This window comes from Homo sapiens, chromosome 13, assembly GCF_000001405.40.
Source record: "Homo sapiens chromosome 13, GRCh38.p14 Primary Assembly".
In the NCBI taxonomy this organism is placed as follows: Eukaryota; Metazoa; Chordata; class Mammalia; order Primates; family Hominidae; genus Homo; species Homo sapiens.
The window spans coordinates 91,743,559-91,771,277 of NC_000013.11; the positions used below are offsets into that span (position 1 = coordinate 91,743,559).

The window sequence follows — 27,719 nt, forward strand, 5'->3', positions numbered from 1 at the left end:
GGGGAAAATGGGAAGCAGGAAGCACCAAGGAATACTCATATTTGTATCCAATGGCATGGAATGGAAATGCCAAAGCTGCCAGATCCACCACAATTGTCTTCGAACTAGTAGAAAAAATTGTGTCTCTAGAGTAGGTTACACATGTGATAGAGAGACACTTCCTTTCCCTTTTTCATCTTCAGTCCAAAACACAAATCAGATTAACCATTTCCAGGGCACACAGCTCCACCATGATCTGTAGAATCATGTGTAGCTTCTTTTGCTTGGTGCAGCAAATGAGAATATGAAGGAAGTTTCAAGGTATCTCTTTTTGTTTTTGTTTAGGCTCATATTTGTAGAGCTCTCAACTTTTAAATTAAGCTTCCTTCTCAGAAATGTGATTCATTCTGGTTTGATGACTTTTGAAGTCAAGGAGTCTGAGGCTCTCTTTTTGATCTACTGGTTTCACCCTCTTTCAGCAAGATTCTTGTTATATAAGGAACACTAACTTTGGGATCTTGTAAACTGAGTAAAACCAAAGGATTTATAGTCTTCAATGTATTGGGTTTGTCTACATTTTCCAATTTAAGTTAGGCCTTATATAAACAAACACATATATGGATTAACATAATGGAAGGATGCATAACCTTAATCCTTATCACATAAACATATTTTGGATGGCATAATTAAGTAAAGGTAACTATACATTAATTATTCCTGGTCAGTAATATTCTAGGCCACCCATCAGAAAAACTGGGAATAAAAGGATACCTAGGTGACATGTAACATTCCACAGCAATATTTTTCAAAATGAAAATTACCAGAGTAATAGGAATAAAATTGAAGACTAAAATAGCTTATTTTATCTGAGCATTGCTATTTATAGATTTCCTAGTGCTAATGCCTATCTTTATAACAGAGTTCAGGGACACATGTATTTGGAATGAAAGATATGGAGGATCTGAAAATGCAAGCATGAACAATTTGTACTAAGTATATACCAGCCATTAGTCAGATAAATTTGTGGGTGGAGGTAAACAGGAATATCTGATTGTAATTGCAAAATGCAAAAGATAAAAGAAGGAAGAATAAAGAAGGCTTTTCATTGGCAGATTATTAAAGGGCAAGTATTTTATTAAAGTTCTGCTAATGCTGAGAGAGGTTAATAATATCTAGATTATATGCTTGTTCCGTAAGTCACAAAGTTTATTGTTAAAATGTTAGCAGCCACAGAAAATATCTTATTGCCAAAGAGGGGAATATTCAAGATTTGACCTAAAATACTGAATCTCAAACAGGTACTCAATAATGATTGTGTGAAGAGCATGTATTAATATCATTAGATTTGAAAATGGAAAATTAGTACCATGTTTCTTTAAACTAGTAGACTGAACAATTAATTGCATATTTTAATTAAAGTGACCAAAAAATTATAAGAGGTAGACACTGTATCACATCTCTTTTGTGATAGATGACCAATTTCCCTAGTATTATCTGACTGGTTTTAAATCTTGAACACTTGGTCGAGTGTTTATTTTCATTAATGGGTTGAAGTCCTTGTTTAAAGTCCTTTTTAATGGAGAACAGAGGTAGTGTTTTTTTAAGGCACATTTTTACAACAGGGGAAAACGATGTTAGAACTAATTTTGAAAACCCAGTTTTGATAACAGGTTTAAATCACTCTTTGTAGAGGAGGATGCTTTCAGAAAGGGTGTTTTTTTATGGGGACATTAAGTGGTAATGTGTTGGGTTTGGAAGGTCTTTGAAAAGTGAGGAATAGAGGCATCTATCCTAATTGCATAGATGGCTATGAATTTCCAGCTCAAGGCTAGAATCAAATTACAAGAGAGTGCTAAACATGAAACACCTGTTTGAAAAGAACTTTCTGCAAAGGGTCTCTAAGGAGCCCACTCTCTGAGCTCCTTTCCATCTCTTTCCTATTACTTTCCCTGTTGCTCCCCAACCTACCAACCCTTTAGTTTTGTTTTGAAATCACAGTAAATCCTCTAATAAAGGGGAATCATGTCATGTGAGGGAGATGACTTCCTATGTGGAGGGGAAAACCTGGAATGACTTAGGGGAAAAAAAAATCTGTCTCTTTGAGAAAGGTGCCTATCTTTACGTCACAGTTTCTGTAATGAGCAATGAGTTCAGGTGGGGTTCAGAGAGCAGACTTAACAACTTGCTCTTTTGGAAAAAAAATTTTTTTTCTTTTGAATCAAATATGAATGTCATGTGCTTGAAACACATTTTCATTTATGATAAACGTGCCATATATTGCATTGCTTCTCAGTGATGTGTTCACCCTCTCTTCCCAGAATGGGCCAAGAAACGAGACTTCCATTCTCCATCCGACTATACAAGTTTAATTACTTTCAAGCATTTGCAATGAGAGTGGTGTTTGCTCTTTCTATTCTATTAGAATGAAAATCTAATTTTTGTATTCTAAAGACTTCTCTAAATATTTTGTCAAATAGAATGACAGGTGAGAATAACGTTAAATGATTAAATATAGATTCAGAACAGCAAGAGAAAAGAGTTCTTATCTAGAAACCTGTAATTATATATTTCCTCTGCTGAGCAGGAGACTGACATTTTAAACGTCTACTGTTTGACAGCTGTGGTCAGACATCTCTACAGGGTTGAGCCTGCTCATTAGTGCCACATTAACCTTCACGTTGCCTCAGGCCATTAACTAGCAAACTGCACATTTGACCTTTGTTCTACAGATATTTTCAAACAGTGTGCTAGGCATTGCTTTTAATTTGGGTTCTGTATTATGTGTGGACTGACTTTAGGGGTAAAAAAAAATCAATATATGTCATTAAGTAGAGAAACAAGCAGTCTGAGACATTTCAGAAAGAAAATCTCCATTTGAAAATAAGATCCTTCTTGGATACTTTTCTAGATAATTAGCTTTGGTCAAAATTAGAAATAGTCTCTTCTGTGTTGTATTCAATGGAAAAAAAGAGGGGTGCAATATATGACAATTTATAAATGTTTAAAATGAAACAAGTTCCTGTGAGATGAGGACATAGGATTGAGAGGTATGCCTTTCGAACATAGTTTTGTTTCTAGCAAGGTCTAATTAAATGAAGTGCAAGGTCAAATGTAGATTAGAGCCATAGGCCTTAAGGCAAACAGCTTCCTAAAAGATGAACAAAGTTTGAAACTATATGTCAGCCTTATAAATTAAAATATAAATTTACTTAATGAAATATTTTCATAGACTATGCTAATGTTGCTATATCCAGTTTATGGAATATTATACAGCTAATTAAAAATAAGACTCTATTTATTAACCTGAAAGGGCTTCATCATATACTGTCATGTGAGAAAGATCCCATTTCATATATGTGTATAGCTTGGTACAGATTTTGTGAAACCAAACCATCTCTATATCCTTCTCTATCTTTCTATGTTGGTCTGTCTGTTTGTCTGTCTTTAGCTGCTTGTTAGTTTGCACATAGCAAAAGCTGAAGAATAAGATAAACACCAATCTGTTATATTGGTTACTTCAGGTGGGAGGGATGGAAAGACTATGGAAGGACAGAAATTAACTGGTTAGTCATGCACCTTTTTATTATTTTACACCTTACTAAAAGATATATTACTTTTATAATTAAACATGATTAAAGTCAATTATAACAGTATAGCCAGTTGGAAGTGTTACTCAATTTAACAGTAGTAACTGGCATTCCTTTGTCAACAGATTCAGAAACAACTACTTCAGGGTGGGTTGCATTCCCCTTTATATATATTTTGTACCACGTGATGTATCAGGAGACCTTTCTGGCACTGTTGGCCTCAAGGGCATGGGAAGCAATGAAGCAATAACTATGCTAGTCCATGTTTCTCCCCTGCCTTCAGTAAGCTCAGGGCAAACAAGGCTGCAGGCTATGAATGAGCAATTGTGCTACAGCCTTTTTCTACTTTACTCTGTTGCACAGTGTACAAAGCTGGGCATTAGCCAGTGATTAGAATTTACCCCACTGCCTGCTTCCTGCTCCAGACATTTTAGACTGGTCAAAACGTGTAGATAACTCCTGTCTGAACATATTGCATTCTCATTGTAGCTTTTTGTCATTGTAGCGATGTATCTGGTTTTTTTTTTTCTAATCTAACAATCTACTAATGAGTGTGTTTTTAGAATGTGATAATTTCCATAAATGTTTGGAAACAGGTGGAAATACTCTTCTATCTAAAGATTTATTCAACTTTGATTAATCAAATATCCACTGGCAGCCAGTTATTGCTAAGCAATGAGATTTTCAGTTAATTAATTAAACAAGATGTTGAAGTCTGTATCAACTAAATGCCTAACTAACTGATAATTTAGTGACTTCTCATGAGTCTTTTTATTTCTCTCATTTCCACTTTTGTTATTTATAAGAGGGTTGGACTAAGTCACTGGTTCTCAAACATGGTTGCACATTAGGATCCTTCAGGAAGCTTGCAGAAAACCCAAATGCTCAGTTCTCATCCCGGACCAATAAATCTGATTGTTTGAGGGAGAACTCCAGGTGTACAGTTTAAAATGTTTCCTTGGTGATGACAATGTATAGATAGGACAGGAGCTGTTTGAACAGATGATCTCTAAGGCTCTTTCTATCTCTGTCTTCATAACGCAGCATATCTGTGATGTATTAATTATGATAGCTATCTTACACAGCAGTGCAACTAAATATTAATGTGTCACTACATATTAATTTTAACATTACATATAAATAGGAGCTGTCTTGAGCCTCTTTAGTAGAGTCTGGCTCAGTTGTTGTCCTACCTTAGAGATTCCTTCTATTTTTTAATGCAACACACCAGAAAGGTCTCTCTGATATTTTGCCAGAATCTAGGAATAGGTCCCCTAATTTAAAGTTTCCCAAGCCACCTGTGCACTTAAAGAACTTTAAATTATCACTATCATTGTGTAACACATATTCCTTGTAGGAGCTTCTAATTCTAGAAGTTGTTAAAAACTAGTCTGGGGCTAATTCAAAAAGAATTTGTTAAGTGCCTGTTGGGTACCAAGCTGTGGTCCAAATCCTGGAGACATGAGGAAGACTTGGCTTTTGTCTTTAGGAAGCACATTCATTAATTGGGAAGGTAGATTGGCATACAGGGGGATTATAATACTAGAGAGCAAGGGCTATAATACAACCATAGGCAGGGGCTAGATGAGAAATGAGGATGAACCAGTTGCTATACCAGTTGATTAGGGAAGGAGTTGGAGAGGATGTGAGGTTTAAGCAGGATCTTGAAGGATGGGTAGAAAGTTGAGAGTAAAGTAGGAGGAGAAGACAATTCTGGGTGGAGGAAACTGGATGTTCTAAGCCTGGAATCTTGTTCAGTAAATATTGAGTTGTTTTATGCAATGCGTGTATAGGTGTGTGGGCTTTGGCTGGTGTGTGTGAATAGAGAGAAGGGGGACTGTCATGGAATGAGGTTTAGGGGAAAGAGTCGAGCGCTCTTACGCCATGGCAAGACATTTTATTGTTTCTTATTTTTTTAATTTTTTATAGATATAGTGGGCAAAAGTGCAGTTGTATTACATGGATATGTTGTGTAGTAGTGAAGTCTGGGCTTTTAGTGTAACCATCATCCAAATAGTGTACATTGTACCCATTTTGCATACCTCACCCCACTTCCACCTCCCACCTTCCTGAGTCTCCAGTGTCTATTATTCCACTCTCTAAGTCCATGAGTACCCATTGTTTAGCTCCCACTTATAAGTGAGAACATGTGATATTTGACTTTGTTTCTGATTAATTTCACTTAACATAATGTCCTCCACTTCCATCAATGTTGCTGTAAAAGACATGATTTGATTCATTTTTATGGCTGAGTAGTATTCCATTGTGTATAATATAGACCACATTTTATCCAGTCTCCTATTGATGGACAATTAGGTTGATTCCATGTCTTTGTTTCTGTGAATAGTGCTGCGATAAACATACGACTACAGGTATCTTTTGATATAATGATTTATTTTCCTTTGGGTAAATACCAAATAGTGGAATTGCTGGGATAGTGGAATTTCCAAATACCAAGTGGGATTTCCTTTGGGAAATACCCAATAGTGGGATTGCTGGATCAAATGGTAGTTCTATTTTTAGTTCTTTCAGAAATCTCCATACCATTTTCCATAGAAGTTGATTTATATTTCTACCAACAGTGTATAAGTGTTCCCTTTTCTCCACATCTTTGCCTGCATCTGTTATTTTTTGACTTTTTAATAAAGACATTTTATATAAATGGGTTAGTATTTTAAAAGTAGGGAAGTGGTATTTTTTGGAGACAGAGTCTCGCTGCTCTATAGCCCAGGCTGGAGTGCAGTGGCACAGTCTCAGCTCACTACAACCTCTGCCTCCTGGGTTCAAGCAATTCTCCTCCTCAGCCTCCCAAGTAGCTGGGATCACAGGCATGCACCACCAAGCCCGGCTAATTTTTGTATTTTTAGTAGAAACGGGGTTTAGCCATGTTGGCCAGGCTGATCTCAAACTCCTGACCTCAATTGATTCCGTCTGCCTCGGTCTCCCAAAGTGCTGGGATTGCAGGCGTGACCCACCATGCCTGGCCTGTATGGCTCATTTCTAATGTTGATTCTGCATTCAACTTGGAAAATGGAGGCACAGGGAACAAATGCTACACTGTTACAAGCCCAGATGACAAATTATCCATTTTTATTGGTCCAGACATAGAGGCTTTGAATAAATATTCAGATGAGCAACATTTTTCTATTTTCTTTTAAATATGGTCAAACTGTTACTCTTAATAATTATATTTCATTTCTGTGTACTAGAGATAGATGAAGCACAAGATGAGCAACTGACATATGAAACACAGTCCCTGAAGGATAATTAGATGGGACTGGACTGTTAACATCTCCCTGCATTTATTATGATCCTAATTTTAACGGCAAATATTCTCATAACAGTAGAGAAATAATTGCATGGATGCAGTCACTCTCCCAGCAACTTAAATTTAGAATCTTTCTAAGAATATAATATTTTGTTCATTGAAATATTTCACGTAAAACTGGAAAAGTAGTCGTGTGCTAGCTTGAGCATTGAGCTGGCAACTGAGATTTGAATTCTGATAATAGGGCCAACATTAATTTGCTCTGTGGTAGTAGGTAAGTCCTTTTTTTTTTTTTTTTTTTTTTTGAGATGGAGTTTCGCTCTTGCTGCCCAGGCTGGAGTGCAATGGCGCCATCTTGGCTCACCACAACCTCTGCCTCCCGGCCTCAGCCTCCCGAGTAGCTGGGATTACAGGCCTGCGCCACCATGCCCGGCTAATTTTGTATTTTTTGTAAAGACGGGGTTTCTCCATGTTGGTCAGGCTGGTCTCAAACTCCTGACCTCAGGTGATTCGCCCACATTGGCCTCCCAAAGTGCTGGGATTACAGGTGTGAGCCATTGCGCCTGGCCGGTAAGTCTTTTTGACCAGTTCACTATGCCTACTAGTGTTTCAATCCCCTCCTTTACCACCATCTCAATTATTTTTGTTTAATATACCTACCGTAGATCCCTGGTTCTACTATTTATCAGTGCAACTGCATTTTGCAACACTTCTCATGATTCCTGCCACCTAAACCCTGCCAAACACAGAATATAGTGTTCCAAAGTAGGATCTCCCCCCAAATTTCTGTCTTTACAAACCAAAACCCATCTTAATAATAACACAGACTTTCTTCCCTTATTTTAGCCTCAGAAAATTCAAAGCTAACCACTGTTTTCAGTAGCCTTTCCTTCTCTCTTTTGCAGAATTTCTGATTAATGAATTATTAGTTTTCTTTTCCTATCATTGTAGCAACCGTGAGAGACTAAGTTATGATGTGATAGCAAACTACCCCAACATACCATTGGTTGAGAACAATAACATTGTGTTTCTGTTTAGAACCTGTGCCATTTCAGATCAGCAGCCATTACTGCTTAACTTGCCTGGGCTTTAGGACTCAGAATGACAGGGCAGCCTTCCTCTGAAACATTGCCAGTCATCGTGCTAGAGGGAAACAGAAGCTGGCAAAACCTCATTAGTTCTTAAAGCTTCAGCCTAGAAGGAGCATACATAAATTCTGCCTACATTTTTTCAAACCCCAAACAAGTCCGATGACCAAAGCCAACTTCCAAGCGCCTGTGTGCCCAGAAGGTAGATAGACTCTCCAGAAACAAGCTCATTACCACAAAACCTTATCTCCTTCTTTTTATACCCAAATATTTTCAACTGTCTTCCACATTGAAACGAGCATACATAAGAACAAATCTTTAATTTTTCTTTTTTGGAATCTCTACTTATGGTTTCCCATGCTCTTTCTAATGCTCACTGTACAGCAAATGTGAAGTTCATTACTTTACTTCAAGTGTTTTAATTCCTATATGGGTTTGCTAGGGCTGTCATAACAAAATACCACAGACTGGGTGGCTTAAACAACACAAATGAATTTCCTCAATAGTTCTGGGGTTGAAAGGTTCAAGATAAAGGTGTTGGCAGGTTTGGTTTCTGCAGAGGCTTCTCTCCTTGGCTTGCAGATGGCTGCCTTCACCCGGTGTTTTCATGCGGCCTTTTCTCTGTGCCTGTGTGTCCCTGGTATCTCTTCGTCTTCTTATAAGGACACCAGTCATATTGGATTAGCATCTACCCATATGAACTCATTTAATTCTAATTATTTTTTTAATTTTTAAAATTTTATGTGTGGGTATGTATGTATGTATGTATGTATATATGTATGTATGTATAGACAGGGTCTCACTATGTTGTCCAGGCTGGTCTCCAACTTCTAGGCTGAAGCAATCCTCCAGCCTCAGCCTCTCAAAGTGCTGGGATTATAGGCGTGAGCCACCACGCCTGGCCCCTGATTATTTCTTTAAAGGCCCTGTCTCCAAACACAGTTAGGATTTCAACATATGAATTTTTTTGTGGTGGTGGCAGGAGGTGATACAATTTAGTACATAATAATTATGGTCACCACATATGAAGGACACTTTCAGTATTTTATTTAACCTCTCAGGATGGCATTTTGTACTGTGAAGAATCTACCTTCAAATTCACTCATTCTTTAGTTTTCATAGTGCTTTAACTTTGAAGTTTTCTTCCTTCGTTCTTTTCACTTTCAGCTCTTTTTGGCTTTTTATTACTGCATATTACTTTCCTGAAAGATTTTCTCCATGTCCATTATTTCAGTCACTACCTGTATGGGTGGTGGGTCTCACGTCACATGTCCAGTCCACTAAGTTCCAAGGTTACATCTTTAACAGCAAACTTCCAGGATGTGCACAGTTCTTGAACCAGTAGCATCAACATCACATGAGTGCTGCTTTGAAATGTGCAGTCTTGAGCCCTGCCCTGGAACTACTGAATCTGAATCTGCATTTTGGTAAAATCCTCAGATGAGATTTACACCTAGTAAATTTGAAAGTAGCATTCTGTTTGATTTCTCTATCTAGACATTCCAAAGAAATCTCAAACTGAACATGTTGAGAATGAAACCATTAATTCCTTAGTCTTCACTCATGTATTAATTTGATGACTATTTATTGGGGCTACTGTGTGTAAAGCCACTGCTCTATGATTTATGGCTGTGAACAAAACAAGCAAACAACAAAATGTCTGCCTGCCTGAATATTTTATTCTGGACCGTAGAGACAGTTAAGAAACAATAAGGCCTGATTAATCCGTATATTACATAAGTGGCTAGAAAGTGATGTGTGCCTTGGAAAGATGAAAATATCAAGCGAGATAAGGATGATCATAAATATAGTGTAGGACACTGAGAAGGTGAGATTTCCCTTCCTTTATTTCTTATCTCAGGGAATGACATGACCATCCCCTCACATGAGCAGGGGGAAAACACAATTAGAAATTGTGTGTGTTATCTTAACACTCTTACTTTAACCTGTCAATTCTGGATTCCTAATGTCTTTCAAATCTTTCACTTGTTTTTCTGTTCACTGACAGGCTCCTTCTCACATCCTCAGGGTTTCTCCTGCTCAGGTTATAGCCACCTAAGTGACCTCACTGCTTTTCTACTCCCAAGTTGCTGCCATGATGATGATAACACCTGCTTGCTGGAAAACTTAATGGTTCCAACTGCCTTTTGAATAAAACAGAAACGTCTTATGATGAGCAATAAGACTGATGATAAAATGGTTTCTTCTTACCATTTTACCATAATTCATTCCCATAAGCACAGTCCCCTCTAGTGAAACTGCATACTACCCGTATTTTCTTTCCTCTTACCCTTACTCATCCAGGCTTTTTGTTTGGTTTGCATGGAACACTGAAATACTGCCTTGTTTTGTAAATATCTTCTGATTCCTCTGTGCGCTAAAATTTGGCACTATTAGCACTGTATTATCATTGTAGGTTTTCCCCAAAATGTGTGTTCTTAGAAGGCAGGTGCTCTCTTGCTTACCTGTGAATCCTTAGTGCCAATAAAAAACTTAGTACTCAGTAGCATTTATTACTTTTTGACCAATAATTTATAGATGATGGTTCATAGAATGACTGGAAATCTTCTAGGTTAAATCCTTTCAGAATAAATATAGGCAAAGGTATGACGGTGTGTTTGGAAAACAGAACCTCACTTTTGTGGGACCCTAAAGTATGGTTTGGGTTGTTGTTCAAATTGAAGTGAGAAGATACCTTGCACATCTTTCCAAGAAACTTAGATAAAATGCTGTAGAGAAGCCTTTGAAGGACTTTAAGTGAGTAACATAATCTCTGGAATATCAAATTTGAATTTTAGAAAGTGACTGTCATTGAGAATGGGAAGAGATTGGAGGGATGTAATCTTAGTGTAGTACGTCCAGAGAAAGATGATAAAGGCTTGGACTAAGGCAATGGCAGTATAGCCGTGGGAAAGAGGACTGGAAAAGAAAGACATAAAGCTTTCTCTATGAGGATCTATTGATTTTGAAGGGAGAAATGAACCTTGTGCTATCCACCAAGACTGAATTAGGGTCCATAAAAATATTTACAATTTTACATCATCAATTTAAAAGTCTCAACATTCCATCAATTTGGGCCTGGTCTTCATTCCTAGAAGACTCTGATTCCGAACAAGTGATCATTTATTGTGAATAAAATTTAGGACAGGAGTCACACATCCTGCCATTCATTAAATCCCACCTTTCTAAAAAAGAATTAGTCTGCTTCCTCAATTATGTTTTAATAGCTGCAACATATAAATTGATATTTGTTCATGCATTACAATTAGTAAAGACATAGCTGTCTTTGAGGCACTTATTTTCTGGCAGAGGAAACGGACTTAAAGTAGTAAATATGTAATATAATTACTGTGCTATCAAGAGAATAAAGCCTTTGTTGTAATCAATCTAAGTTACAGTTAAGTCAGAATTGTGCTTCTTGCAACCACTTTATCACTTATCTGGTCCATCTTTGCTAAAAACTCGTTTAAATACCAAATACTTATACTAAAAACTTCTGATTTTCTCTGAGTTTTGATGTTACATATTTGAAAGTAATATTTATCTTTTTTACAAATCAACTCCAGCAATATTCACAAATAGTTATTTAAAAACCGATAGGTTTGTGTCCAGCCTGGGCAGCATAGCAAGATATCATCTCTAAAACAAACAAACAAAAAATAATAGGAGAGAGAACTAAAAATTAATGAACTTGAGTAACAGAGCTGACAAAATGAGATTTCATTTTTAAAAAATTAGTTACTCCAGGCATAATTTAGAATCACCTGTCTTCTTTGATCTCATTTTTAAACACATTATATTTTTAGTCTTAATGAGGGTGACATTTCATAATTGCTACATTTTAACTGCATATTCCATGAATTTCTAAAGTTTACTTTCCTTCCAACATTTCCTTCTTCTGCCCCTTCCTTCTGGTCTAGAGAGCATCTCCTATGATCAGCCTAGGGCTTTTCATTTCTTTTTCCAAAACAATTGTTTATGTCAAAAAAAATCATAATGAAGGCCTTTAGGACTTGGCCTTGAAATGTTAAAACTCAAGTTCTTGGTCCTCCAAAGCCTTGGTTTTAAAACTGAAAAGTTTTTGGTTTCTAAATTAAAACAAAACAAAAAACCTGCTTGTTGTTGAATTTTTCCTCTGATAATTGATATGGGGAAGGAAAGTATTGTGGGAGGAAAAAATCTTAGTTAATATACTAAATATTATTCCTTCCAATAACTTTTATTTTCATGCTTCTGAAATATCTTACATGTCTGGGTTTTGGGTCATATTTAGTAAAGACATTACTTTATGTTCTTAGATACCAAGAAGACCCAGATAGGAAAATAACCTACTACACTTTTCATCAGTAAGCAATCACTTGGCATGTTGTAAGTCTCTGACATTTTCCACAGGGAAAAGAAAATTATTAGTACTCTCGTGGTGGCTTAGATGATAGCAGGTAGTGAGGACTTTTAGGGAGGCTAAATGAAGTGATGTCGTTCTTTATGCATCAGTATATACTATTCCCAACTTCTTGCATGTGAAGTTACACAAGATTCATACCCAGTGAACCTTTTTATTCCAAGAATAAACTAAAATACTAGCTTTTTTTTTGAAAAAAAAAAAAAAGTAATGTATTTTCATCTTGGTGGTTAGAAAAGTATTTAAAATATATGAGAACAAATAGAGAAAATGTAAAAAATTATATTCTAAACATTATGCATAACAATATAAAAATTATATCCTAAACATTATGTATAACAATACATATCATTTTTGATGGCCTTTATTGTGGATGTTTGGTTTTAATTGTTTTCTTTCTTCTTTCATTTAGAGAATTTATCAACAGCCTTCGACTGTACAGGTCATTCTATGGAGGTCTAGCTGATCAGCTTTGTGCTAATGAATTAGCTGCTGCAGATGGACTTCCCTGCTGGAATGGAGAAGATATAGTAAAAAGGTATTTTATGTGGTCTGTGAAAACCTACTAGTTACATCATCCTTGCTTTCTTTTTCTGAATCTTAAGGGGATTAATTCAGTCTTAACTTTGTCACACAGTTTACAGTCTACATTAAATACTTATCTTTAGTTTGTCAAAAAACAAGGAAAAGAACAACAAAACCTGATCCTTTTAGGTATCTTAAAACTATAATAGCATTCTGTGGTATTTTGAAAGTCTTCTCTTTTACCTATCTATGACTTACCAACAATCCTACTTTTGAATTAAACACCGTTTATTTTTTATCCAGTCTGTCTGTTGTTTACCAAATATTGTATTTCTTTTTAGTTTAAATTCATGAGTATTAGAAAGTGAGGAAATTCAGTGAAATGTGAATACCTATTCAAAGATTCATTGGTATATGGATATGTGTCCTAACAATGTTAATGTGTCCATCCTACAATGGTCTGATAGAAAGAGAGCATGCAAGAAAGAGAGAGAGAGAGATTGAGAAAGAGAGAGAGAGACTATGTAATAGTGGGGGCACTTTTATATATATATATATATCTGTTTGAGGCATTGTTCATTGATATGTTGTCAATTATTCTCAAACTTAGAAGTGAAATTCCATGTTTACTTTTTTTCCTGCCTATCTAGAATTTCTTTGACAGTTTCTTTTCCTTTATTTCCTATAACTGATTGTACTTTCAAGCAATCTCCTGAGCTTGAGAAAGTCATAAATTCTCCCTCTGTGGTCAATTAAACTGGTTGGGGAAAAGTCTCTTGATTTGCCAATACTGGTGGTTATTATAGAATGTAGGATAATGAGGTTTTGTGTTTGGATCTGAATCTGTTAAACTATAAAATAAATATATTTTTTATTTGTACATTTTACATTTTGGATTTGAATCCATTAAAAAGTATACTTTGGATCTGAATGTGTTAAAATATATTTTTGAGCAGTCTCCAAAATGAAAGATAGGGTGTTAAGCTTTCTGACAGATATGGTTTGGCTGTGTCCCCACCCAAGTCTCATCTCGAATTGTGGTTCCCGTAATCCCCAGGTGACCTGGGAGGGACCTGGTAGGAGATCATTTAATCATGGGGATGGTTTCCCCGATCCTGTTCTTGGGATAGTGAGTTAATTCTCCCGAGATCTGATGGTTTTATACGGGGCTTCCCCTTTGCTGTGCACATATACTTCTCTTTGCTGCTGCCATGTGAAGAAGGACGTATTTGCTTCCCCTTATGCCATGATTAAAAGTTTCCTGAGGCCTCTCTAGCCATGCTGAACTATGAGTCAATTAAACTTCTTTCCTTTATAAATCACCCAGTCTTGGGTATTTCTTCATAGCACTATGAAAATGGACTAATACAATGAATTACAAGTAAACCTCCTCTATATGCAGATAGGTGGTTTAGTTACCACAAAAGTGATGAGTTCATTTAAAACATTATTTAGCAAATTAACTTTGCTATGATAAACATATACTATAATCAATTTTAATAGAAATTTATATAACTAAGCCACTTATATATTTCTGAGTGATCATTTTCATTATAGTTAAAAGCTACATTCCTGAAATATTAAATTATTATTTTACTAATATCCTGAATATCTGAATATCTCATAGAGACTTAGACTTCACAGAAAAAAAAATTGAAGACAAAAACTGTATTTAAATTTAAATAAAATAATTGGCTGATATGACTAGTGCTCTTTTTTCATTATGCACCCTGGATGTTGCAATGTAACAATTTTGCAAATATTTCTTTATTGCTTTTACTGAGAGAAGTGATAGCATTCTCATACTTTGAGTTCTTAGTGTATTCATGTCAACATTTCTGCTTCTTAGATCTAGTAATTAAATTCTAGTTTGACATAGTATTTTTTCAAACTGTTCAAACTGGAATTGAACTTTTTGTATATTTTTACAAAGACTAATGAGAAACCCAGAGTGATTAATAAAAATTTATTATATCATATAAATATGTTTAATATACTACATTACATTATGTTGAATTATATTATCTGAATCTACAGCTGCAAGAACCTTAATCTGAATTTATCCCATTCCTCTCTTGACCAGTTGGTCTGGGGTTTGTGTAATGGGAAATACTGTTGGAGAAATCAATGATTTGGGGAAACCTTTTAGAGTGATAGTATTTTCAGCTCAATGAATATATTTTATTCTACATAATATATTTTTAAAGACCTCATTCGTGGTTTATGAATTTGAAAAAGCACAGAGTTAGCAAGGACTCTCCATGAAAACCGTCCACATTTCTGATTAGCGAAGTGTGTGATTCTTAGTATTCCCATTTGCTTCCAGCTAATGCCTTCCCTTTCCTGTACCACCACAGACTCCTGTCTATTAGCTACTTCCAAGTGCATAGAGACTCCAGTCTTTCGTGAACAAGCTTCACTGTGTCTTTAACTATCTTCAAACAATTCTTCCAACCTCATCACCTTAATGGACATTTTCCCTTTCTTGAGCACATCTTTCTCTTCCATTTCTGTCTCATGGGTCCCCAACCTACTCCTGTGCCCTTTGGTTCTCAGTGCCAGCATATGAGCCTCACACACTCCTACCACCTCTAAGGCTACTGCCAAAATGAGCATGTTTCAGCCCTGATTATTCTGTTGCCATGAACTGAGGGTTTCAGAAGCATTATTTAATTCCCCCAATACTTCACTTTTAATGCCCCAAGTAAGTTGATTGGACTCTATCTCTTTTCTATTTGACGACGAGAAAATTCTGTGTCTTTTGACTTAAAAAATTAACTTAAAATTTTAATTTTAGTCATGACTCAGTCAATTCTTTATTTTTTTTCATTTTTAATTTTTATGTGTACATAGCAGGTGTATATGGGGTACATGTGATATTTTGATACAGGCATGCAATGTGTAATAATCACATCAGGGTAAATGAGGTACCCATCAACTCAAGCACTTATCATTTCTTTATGTTATAAGCATTCCAATTATACTTTTAGTTACTTTAAAATGTACAATAAATTATTGTTGACTGTAGTCATCCTGTTGTGCTATCTAATACTAGATTTTACTCATTCTGTCTAACTATATTTTATACCTATTAATTATCCCCATTACCCTCTTCCCACTACTCTACCCAGCCTCTGGTAACCATCCTTCTACTCTCCATCTCCATGAATTCAATTGTTTTAATTTTTAGCTCCCACAAATGATTGAGAATATGTGAAGTTTATCTTTCTGTGCCTGGCTTATTTCACTCAACATAATGGCCTCCAGTTCCATCCCCTTGATGTAAATTTAGAATGAGATTTTTTTTTTCTCAATGCCAACTCAATGGTAAAATGTAAGTATCCATCAATTCTCGTTGATTGATTATGGTATCATGAAATGTTACATAGCAGTCAAATTGATACATATTTATATCTGCTACTGTGGAATGATGTCAAATAATTAAACAAAATTAACTAGAAACAGGATAGGACATATTTTACCAGCAGATTTCAAAAAAATAAAATAGATATTAATATTGGTTCTGCATAGAGTATTTCTGGAAAGTTACAAGAAAATTGTTAATGTGCATAAATTTAGGACAAAGTACTAGGGGGCAGGGAGGTCTTTTATTTTTTAATTTGTATTGTACATACTTATTTTAAATGAAAACAGGTGTTAAAGTGATACAAGAATTATGGGCCATTATTGTTTTTTATGTTTTATAATTCTCAAAAAAAAGTAAAAATTAACGTTGTAAAAAGTGCTATTTATACATTTAATTTCTACTAATTCAGATTTTCCTAGGAATTTTGTGATATAGTTTTGTCAAAGAGTTAATACATATGCTTCAATATTGAACTGCTGAATTTATCTAGGAGAGTTTCTATACAAAGTCAAGTCCTGATCACTGTTACAATCTTAAATTAACCACTTTCTCCTTGAGAAAAAATGAAGTATAGCAGTGATCTGTGGTGAAAAGCTCTAAGCAATCCTCACATGTGAGATTCATTTCAGAGACCTGCAGTTAGTTGAAGTAAGTAATGCCATTCAGTTTTGAGGAAATGGACAAGTGAATGTATACTACATTTGGGGATGATAGAGTGTTTTCCTGTTTTATGGGAGGTTATAATACCCATCAGCTTCATTCTAGAGGAGTTAAGCCAAACACATCAATAGGTCAAATTGGTGGCCAAGATTAAGTCTATTCTTCATTATAAGAGTGAAGCAATTATTTTGGCAAGATTTCTTCTCCTGCAGGCATTTTTAAAGAGGTGATTGATATGATTATTTGTGTGCACAGACATTCTTCAAAGACTAGGAGAGCCATACAGACTATTTTAATATCATGACAGTCCTGTAAAACTGTGTGAAATCACCTATGTGCTGATCAAAAGAGGTGGAATTCCTTTGTGATTGTAGATGAAAATGTCTCAAATATCTGTAGTGTAAAAAGAGTTTGATTTTTGAAACAAAATCTATTTAACTCAAATGATTTCGAAGACTGTATTCATATCATATACTCTACTGCAACACTGAGGTCAACAGTTCAAACAATTTCTGATTTAAGAAGAAAATATTATTGAAATCCATGTAGTCTGTATCTCTTACAGTCTCTTTTATCTCCCCTTCCTGTCTCTTCATTACAAAACAACATTGTTCTCTGAAAGGCATGTTAGTCTTTGTTCTCAGTTCTCTGTGATTGCAAATTGATTGTTTGATGATTCGTTCTTTTCTTTCTGGGCATTGAAGTTCAGGTGACAGCTCCTTAATTACCAGGGCTTCCTTTTCCCTTTTGATTAACAGATAATCCTGTAACTGTCCCTCAGTCTCCAGGAATTAACTTCCACAGTGGCTCTTAAACCAGCCAGTATCTGTTAAGTACCTTTTTGAAGAAAACTCTCAAACCATGTTTTTCCTCTGCTTTTATACCACCGCAACAATCATCAACACGGAACTTCTGTGACCAAAATTGTGGGGTTTTTTTTCACCACACACCAGGCATCCAAAACCAGATGAGTGTCCTCCAATTCAATTCCAACACTATCTACCTGGAGATCCCACAGGCTGGGAGCTCAGTCCCCAAGACTGCCCTGCCTTTCTGAGACCAGTTCCAAGTCCCATCCTCCAGAACTTCTGACCAACTGGCTTCAAGTTGGGGTTTCTACAACCCCCTCTTTGGGTTCAATGAATCTGATGGAGCAGCTCATGGAATTCAGAGAAACACTTATGTTTACCAGTTTTTTATCAAGGATATTACAAAGGCTACAGATGAAGAGATGCCTAGGGCAAGGTATGGGGCAAGGGGTGATGAGCTTCCGTGTCCTCTCTGGGCAGCTGCCCTCTAGGAACTTCTTTGTGTTCAGCTATCCAGAAGCTCTTTCAACCTTGTCCTCTTGAATATTTATGGAGACTTCATTATGGAGACAACATTAATTTTGCCATTGGCCATTGGTGATCAACTTGACCTTCAGCCCCTCTCCCCTCCCTGGAGGTTGGTGGGAGGGGCTGAAAGTCCCAACCCTCTAATCATGCTTCTGTCTTTCTGAAGTGTCAGTCAACTTTAGCATACAAAAAGCACTTTGGAGATTCCAAGGATTTTAGCAAATGCCAAGAAACAGGGAAGAAGACCAAATATATATTTTGCAATATCATAGCACCCTGGTAAAATTAATATGCCACATTATTTCTACTTCATCTTGATTAAGTTAATGTTCTTGAATGCTTCTTTCATAATCCAGTTTTCTCTTTTCTAGCTTTTATGATAAGCTGACCCTTTTCCTCAACTGGTTGTGTGTGAGTTTTTAAAATCAGATAAAATAGAAAACTTTATAAATCTCTGAGAGTTTGTACTCTACCAATTCTCACTTTTCTTTCCACCCAGGCAATGACAGTTTTCCTGACCATAATTTTGTTAACCTCATTTTTTTTTTTTCTTTTACCCATTATCTAGCTGGAAAGCCACTTCAATTTCAATCTTTCTTTTTTCTTCCTGACCTTACAGCATTCAATTACATTTTTCCTATTTAACATCTGTCCTAGTTTCCAAAAGTTTTGAACTTCATTTTAAAAACGATCAGGTCTCAGGATTGTCTGAATTTCTGAATTTTATTAATGTAACAACTGGTTGCTTTTCCTATGTTTCTTGTGCAAAGGCAGTATGTTCTTTATGACTTAAACACCAGTTTGTTTTCTATTTCTTTTTTTTTTTTTTCCTGGCAAATTCTACCTATCCAATCAGTTTCTCATATCCTTTGTCTATACCTTCCTAATAATTATCATTATCATACCTATAGCCTATCATATTTGGTTCAGAATTGGAGGTTGCTTTAAAAAAGTGTGATTTGAAGACTTCTTCCTCACTTCAGCAATTTACCATGGAGCTTGAAATGCCCACAATTAACTGAATAATTTTCAATTAAATCATTTTCTCCATGCAACTGTATATGCAGCTTTGCCAAACTCTCACTTTTGTCTTGAATCTTAGGGGTATGAATCCCCTCATTTGTGTTTCATTTTAACCCCTAAATGCACTGTGACACCTATAATACATTTTTTTTGCATTTATATGTCACACATCTTCTTTATTCTTCTCTATTGCAGTTTCTTTTGGAATAGATCTCCTGGATTATCTAAGAGTCTAAGAATGATTAATATCATTGAACATCAATGAGTAATTCTTTGAAGATAACAAGACTCTGAGGGAATGACATTTTTATAAGCATTAGTGAGAACTAAGAGATTTAGGACTTTGGACTTGGTGATAACGCTCTGATGGGTAATACGTGGGTCCAAAGTGAAGTTGATGCCTGAAAGGAAGATTAGATGAAGGGAGATGAATCATACAAGTTACAATCTATGCTGACTCTGGATGCTGATTTTTTCTCCCCCCCGGACAACTTTAAGACCATGTACATCTCATGGTACGCACTTTCATGGACATTTTTGTTAAATGGGAATCTAAAGAACCCCATGAATCTGAAATGTTTTGGGTTAGAGACATGTTGGGTGGGATTGTTCCTATCAAAAAGATGAGGCACTGGAATGAGGAGTAGATCCACGTGCAAAGACCTGCCCAAAGTCAAAAGTCTGAGTTTGCAGTCTTCATTAAGGGAAGAACTGAAACATTTGTGCTCATTTGTGACAAAAATAAAAATTGCAGTTTCAGATATAAGGGACTACAGAATTCATCACATTGCAGATTACACATTCTAGGTTCAATTAGACAAATCCAGGTATGGCTGATGGTTTGAAATCAACAGAAAATAAATTTGCAGGATTCTTGGCTGTATAATATCCCTATGCCACAGTTGTACTCTCCCTGCCTTCCTCTATTACACTTTCTTGGTAGGTAATTTTTATTTCATTGATAGTCCCTAAGTAGTTATCTCATGGTTTGGGTCTATAACAAATATAGTCACCCCTTGGTATCCATGGGGAATTGTGTCCAGGACCTCTCTCAGGTACCAGAACTCAAGGATGCTCAAGTCCCAGCTATAAAATGGGGTAGTATTTGCGTATAACCGATGCACATCCTCCTGTTTACTTTAAATCATCTCTAGACTAAATATAGTACCTAATACAATGTAAATGCTGTGTAAATAGTTGTTATACTGTTTTTTAAAACTTGGTGTTGTTTTTTATTTTTATATATTTTTTTCTTCAAATATTTTTGATTCGTGGTTGGTCGAATCCTTGAACACAGTTGAATCCTTGATCTGGAACTGGTGGATCCAGAGGGCCAACTGTAATACAGGAGATGTTTGCAAGGACATGCACATTTTATCAGCTTGGCTCCAAGTCCTGACATTCCTAACTACGGTTAAAGCTTAGGGAAATATTAATCATTCTCAGGTCAATATACACATTTTGGTCTTTTCTAAAAATGCTCTATGAATGCGGCAATAATTGCGTGGTATATCATCTTCTGAGCTGAGACAGGTCTTCCGTATCTCTCTTTAATGACGTATTGGCTTGGTAATCAGTTGTCTCTTGTTAAGCGTGTGTAATCATTACATTCAGAAAGCCAGACTCAGAAAGGTCTGAGTAGAAACATTAAATCCTCTAGGAATGCCATTTTTACTTTGTCACCAGAATAAAATCATGGCCAGCTGTCAGAATTTTTTTGCTCACTATTAGTGCCTGAAGGCTCTTTCATTATGGGTTAGTTCCATAAACCGTGTAAATTCAGTAATGAAAATGTCCAGTCCAACCTAATAATCAAACGTGTGAAATTCTCTTACTCTTCGTTTTTCCCCTCGTCCAGTTAGGTTCTGCTTCAGTCTAAGAGTCCCTAGTAGGGTGTGTATGTGAACCTTTTCAGGTTCGTGTGCCAACCTTGCACTCTCCTCGTCCTTCAAACAATGTTTCTGACTCCCCTGTGCTTGTAGTTGGCAGGTTTCGAGCTGGGGAGATGATGGATCAAAAGTGAGAAAGAAGAAGTGAGAGAAGAAATCATTCTTTGTGACTGGTAATTTTATGATCTCTCATTGATGTTTTCTAGCCTGGCAGGTATTAACAGCTGATGCCCTAGTGCTTTTGTGTGCTTAAGACAATGTCTCTCCCCTCTATTTCTCCATGTGATGGTAATGTTTTGGCCTCTTTCTGCTGAGATCTTTTGGTGGGTTCCTTTTCTCCCATATCATCTATTCTAGCCCATAGAAACCTTCCCTCTCTTTTCTACTTTTGGTGGAAGTACAGCCTACACCTAATGCAGCTGCCTCTCTTTACTCTGCCACTAGACAGCCAACTTCTGCTACAAGAATGGGCTGCCTTCCATTTGCGTAGGCATAGGCCAACTACCAGCCCTTTTAGTCCTTCCAGCTCCAAGGATCCTTCAACACTTCTCTCACCTAGGACCAATGAATGAGGGAATGCCGTAGCAGTTCAATCAGCTTTCTTCAAACAAGTTCCCTGCTTTGTTCTCTTCAACTTCAATCCTTTTATTCAATTAAGGTGGATGTCAAACTGTGGGACTGAAAACAAGGTTTCAGTCATCTGCTTTTCATGTCTAGCACCTCACTGAAAGTGAGGGGTGTATGCCATCTATTGTCCCTTGTTCTTGGCTGAAATGGAAACAGAAAGAGTACTATTTTAGCACCCTTTTCCATGTACTTGGAAGTGGTGCAGAGAAGACAGAAAACTAGTTTCCAAATTCAAGATACTGCAATAGACCTTGAATGGAACGCAAAGTTATATGAGATATTTTCCCAATCTTTCAGGGACTTGGAATCTCAAACTGGTAGAAAACATGTTCACAAAACACATTCACAGCAAAACAGGTTTTGAAATAAAAGAAGTGTACAATCCCACAGACTTTCAAATAGGGGAAAATTCTTTTTTGATTGAGAGGATTCAACAGTATTTAATGAAAGAGGTAATATGTGATATGAGTTTTCATTCAATTAAAATAAATTCTTTAAAATATGGATGAGATGAGATAATGACTGAGAATGCTTTAAAATAATTCAGTGAGTGGGAGAAAGAGGGTCATATTATATTTGAAGTGAAGTTTTCTGAGTGAGTAATCATTGAAGCTGTTTGATGGGAACGGAGTGTTATACTATATTTTCTGTATATTTGTATTCACTTAAAATTCTGTAATACATAAATACAAAAATATAGTAACACAATAAAAATAACTTTGTCACTGTCTACTCTTTCACAAACACTGTTCTAGATGCTAGGGACACAGTGATGGACAAAATAGACATAAGTCCATCTCTCATGTAGACTAGGATATAGAAGAGAAGAACACAGAACAAATATTTACAAGTGGGAATAGTTTACAAAATCTTTCAAGTTGGATGGAATTTTAATCAGCAGACTTGGAAGCAAGAAAGCGAGTGGGAGCAAATGCATTCTTGAGTGAAATGCTCTGAGTTGAGTGGCCTCTACACTGCATTACTTTCATTTGTGTACAAACTTTCAGATTATGTTTTCTCCTTCTCACTATTCTCTTTCATTTCAGCTTCATGGGCATGTCGTGACTATTTAGTATTAGAAGCCTTCTCTCATTCATTATAATGCAACCATTCATTCATAAAGCCAATAAGGCTCAGTGGTTAGGAACAGGTTCAGGAGCCATGCTACTAAGGTTGTCAATAAAGATTAACCACTTACCAGTGATGTGAATTAAGACATATTCATTAATCTCTAAGTGCATCACTTTTCTTAACTTTAAAATGTGGGTAAGGCCGGGCGCGGTGGCTCATGCCTGTAATCCCAGCGCTTCGGGAGGCTGAGGTGGGCAGAACACGAGGTCAGGAGTTCGAGACCAGCCTGACCAACATGGTGAAACCCTGTCTCTACTAAAAATACAAAATTAACTGTGTGTGGTGGCACATGCCTGTAATCTCAGCTACTTATGTGGCTGAGGCAGGAAAATTGCTTGAACCCGGGAGGTGGAGGTTGCAGTGAGCCGAGACTGCACCACTGCACTCCAGCCTGGGTGACAGAGAGAGACTTTATCTCAAAAAAGAAAAAAGTAGGTGAAAGTAATACCTACCTAATATTTGAAAATTAAATGAGTTATTCACATGAACAGTTTAGAATCCTAGATATAACATAGTCAATAACTGTTAAATCATGTTATTGTTAAATAAAATATGCTCATTTACTTCAATGGAAATGAAACTATTGTATTGACATTTTCTCTTCATTGGATGGGTTCTGTCTTGGATTAGAAGACTTCCATTTGTAAGACAAAGGCATATGCATTCTTGAGTGAAATGCTCTGAGTTTAGTGGCCTCTAGTGAAGTTTCTTTTATGAGTTAATAAAAATTAGTATTAGGGATTTGGGTTTGGGAATAGGAGATATTCCCATATCAATACTTTAAATGGTTATTTTGTTGGATCTGAAAACTGAGAAATTATGTCTTAATGGGCAGTTCATCAGATACTCCAAACTGGAGAGTGATAGTCACTTGAACCCATGCACTATATCAGTGTTTTCAAGGGAGAACTGAAAGTTAAGATACAAAGATAAAGCACTATAGAGATAAAAGTAAAATGCTTATTTCTAACCAGTGGTTTGGGAATGTTCACTCACTGGTTAGTCTTAGAGCTGATCTTAATGAACTATCAGTTGATTGGAAATAAATTTCTGAAGCCAGGCTAAATTTCAGTGTATCACACAACAGATTGTTTTGGGTGACACGGCAATTTCAACGCTGCTACAATTCTAGTCATCTCCCTTTATCCACTGAGTTCCCAAAGGAAATAGGTATTTTAAACAGAATCCCTAGGAAAAAATGAGGTTAAACATCCGCTTTTCCCATGTGTCTACTCAGTTTCTTGCCATGCTGACACAGTATGAGGATACTATTTTTAACTTGTTACACGCGTCCAGAGGTTGAATAGAGGAAGATAAAAAGATAAAAGATAGCAAGATAAAAGTTCACTGAAGTGGAAACCTAAAGGACCTTTTCCCATCTGTTTGGCACAGAAGTTGTTATCTCTTTGGGAGTACAGATTTCATCACAGTTCTATAGACTTGTGACTTCCAGATTGTGTAATTGCAAAACAGCAGCAGTCTTCAAGGCTCCAGGATGCCTGTTCTTACTTTAGCCAGAGCAGTTTCTTATTCATCCTTCGTTTTCATATTGAGGTTACACCTGAAAAGCTATTCCCTTTTCAGTTAAATGGATGTAAGTTTGCTAAACTACAAAAATGGAAAATATTGTTTATTAGTCTAGTTCCAGTGTTTCCATATCATAGCATATAAATTCACTGTTGAATGATTTATTATATATTAAAGTAAAATGCTAGAAGGGAGATTGGAAAAGAACAGGCACCTATTCATAATATATTTTTCTTCAAATAGACTACAGTGTAGTCTAATTGAATTTATAAGAATAGCTCATCAGATAGCACATTTTATTGTCCAACCATCCAAATCCTTCTTTTCTGATGTATTTTTCAACCCAAACAAAGGAAATTTGTTGGATATTATTGAAAAAACTTCTACAAAATTTGATTTGAAATTATTTTTACATTAATGCCACATTTTGGCTTACATGATTAATATTTTTTGTGTGGCTGCAATTATGTATAAAACTGATTAAAGATCAAACTCTGAAAGTAGATTGTCTAAACACACACACAAAAATAATTCGCATGCATTACTTCTTCAGGAAAATAAAGAAATAAAAATATTTTCTTATTTCAGAGTAGTCATGAAGAAATGAAATATTCAGAAAAATGAAAAGTATAATTATATGTGTGAAATATTGTTCATTTTTGGATTATTCTAGACAGAATCTAGACCTTTTTAGTTATATTAGATCATTAAACCAACAACAGTTTAGAATAAATACGGTTAAATTATTTGGTACCAAATAAAAATATCATGTTTATAACAAGCAATGTATATTTAAATATAACAAGTATTGCTATTTACTAAAACATGTGTGGTACATTGGTTTGGAATTGAGTCATTGCCATTTAATATGAAATCATGCGTCTCAAATTAGAATACAGTTCTACAGAGGTAAGTACTCATGCTCTGTAGGGTAGAGAGAGCCACAGCATAAACATCACACCTGCAGTCAGAGGGCTTACTATGTGACTGCATATAGTAGTGTATTAGTCATTGCTGTCCAGAAAACAAAAACAAAACCAGTCTTTCTCTCTCTCTTTCTCTCTCTGAAAGCAACTTATTTTAAGGAATTGGCTTATGTGATCGTGGGGACTGGTAAGTCCAAAATCTACAGGGAATGCTACTAGGCTGGAAATTCTGCAAGGAACCTGCCAGAAGTTGCAGTCTTGAGTCCAAAGGTGGTCTGAAGGTAGAATTCCATCCTCTTCTGGGGACCTTAGTATCTCCTAAGGCTTTCAATTGATTGAATGAGGACCACCAACATTATGGAGGCTAAGATGCTTTACTCCAAGTCTACTGGTTTAAGTATTAATAACATCTAAAAAATACATTCACAGCAACGTGTAGACTGCTACTTGACCAAACCCACTGGGTACTACAGCTTAGCCAAGTTGCCATATAAAACTAATTATCACAGGTAGTATTTTAGGTGAGGAATGAGATGGCAAGCCTGTGCTCTCATGAAGCTAATGCCATAGAAGTTGGGTTAAGGGCATGTTAGATTGAGTATCCAGGAAAACCTTCTCTGGGGAAATCACATTTAGGCTGAATATGTGGAAAGATCTGAATTTTCCAAGTAGAGAGAATATCATGCTTCATGTGTCTAAGGAACAGAAGGGAAATCAGCGTGTGTGGCTCAGGGTGATGCAGATGATGCTGGAGGATTGTCTGGAATGAGACTGTAGCTTGGGCAAGTGTCAGGTCAAATAAGCCCGGGAAGAAGCTTGGATTTTATTCTATGTGCTTTGAGAAGTCATTGGTGGTTTCCACCTGGGATGGGGGTGGGGAGAATCTGTTTTCCTCTGTATTCACACTCAACACAGAACAATTCTGTGACCAGAAGTGTGGGAGTTTCTCCCACACCAAGCAACTGTCCAGTTCTCTTTGAACACCAACTGTATGTCGTATAATTCAACTGAATTACCACACTAACCTGAGTTACCACAGACCTCACATGTTAAGGGCTTAGTCCCACAAGATGCCCCCCACTTTAGATGCCACTCACAAGTAGTAGGTCCCCAGATTATGCACAACTTCCATATGACTTGGCTACACATTGGAGATTCTCATGAGTCCCTTCTTGGGTTTTATCATTTGCTAGAATGGCTCACAGGACTCAGAGAAACACTTTACCTGTGTTTACTCTTTTATTATAAAGGATGCAATTCATGAACAGCCAAAGGGAATAAATACACTGGGCAAGCAATGGAAGAAGGAATGTGGAGCTTGCAGGTCCTCTCTGGGCATGCCATCCTCCCAGCATTTTCATATGTTCAGCAACCTGGAAGCTCTCAGAACACCCTACTTTTGGGATTTATATTCAGGCTTCATCATGTAGACATGATCAATCAATCATTGAGTATTAATCCATCATCAACTGATTAACTCCATTCCCAGCCCCTCTCCTCTCTGGAGAATGGAAAGTCAACCTGAAAATTCCAAGCTTCTAATCATGGTTTGGTTTTTCTGGTGACCAGCCCCCATCCAAGAGGCCATCAGAAATTATCTCATTAGAAAAAAAGATGCTCCTATCACCCAGGAAACTCCAGAGGATTTAGGAGGAATGTGTTAGATGCTTGCTCCTATCACTCAGGAAATTACAAAGGTCTTAGACACTATGTGTCAGGAAATGGGGTCAAGGACCAAATATTAGACCTGAAAATTATCCCAGTCGCCGCTTTAGGAGCTCTGGTTCAAAGACTGGGGAGACTGTGTGTTTGTGTGTGTGTGTGTGTGTGTGTGTGTGTGTGTGTATGCATATGCATATTTCTTATTTCACACAAGCAAAGATTTATATAATTTGAATGCTTTATGAAGGGTAAATGTGAATATAAAGTTTGAGGGAAAACAAACATCTTATTTCAAATTGGCCAATTTTTGTGTGGTATACATGAGAGGGAGAATAAAAAAGAGAACAAAACCAGAAACATACCTGTAAAAAATAAAAACTTATTATTCATAGTGAATGAAAGTCTGTCATGTTTGTGTTATCTGGAAAATATAAATCTTCTTTGCAGAGAAATGCATACCATAAAGAAACTACAAACACATAACCACACTGAGAATAAAGCGTATACAACTTTTCTCACAAAAGGTCACCCTGCCACTAAATGAATGAATACTTCCTCAAATGAATTAGGAAAATGCCAAAAATCTGATAGAAAATTAGGCAAAGTGCATGAATAGATAATTTACAGAACATAACAGTGACTTTTAAACAAAGAAACAAAATTCTCACCCTCAATGTTAAAAATCAAATAAATACAAATCAAATAACTATTTTTTCACTTA

At 36.3% G+C, this 27,719-nt stretch overlaps 1 protein-coding gene across 12 annotated transcripts in view; it reads left to right on the forward strand.

The window, feature by feature from the left end:
* Positions 1-27,719, forward strand: part of GPC5 (glypican 5) — a 1,468,617-nt gene that overhangs the window by 344,938 nt on the left and 1,095,960 nt on the right. For 4 of the 12 annotated variants that reach the window (NM_004466.6, XM_017020435.3, XM_011521054.4 and 1 more), the window contains exon 5: positions 12,737-12,862. In NM_004466.6, the coding sequence (NP_004457.1) occupies positions 12,737-12,862 (126 nt within the window). Of the gene's footprint in view, positions 1-12,736; positions 12,863-21,218; positions 25,235-27,719 lie in introns of those variants that run through there. The other 8 variants (XM_017020437.2, XM_011521059.3, XM_011521058.3 and 5 more) reach the window with 6 other exon arrangements.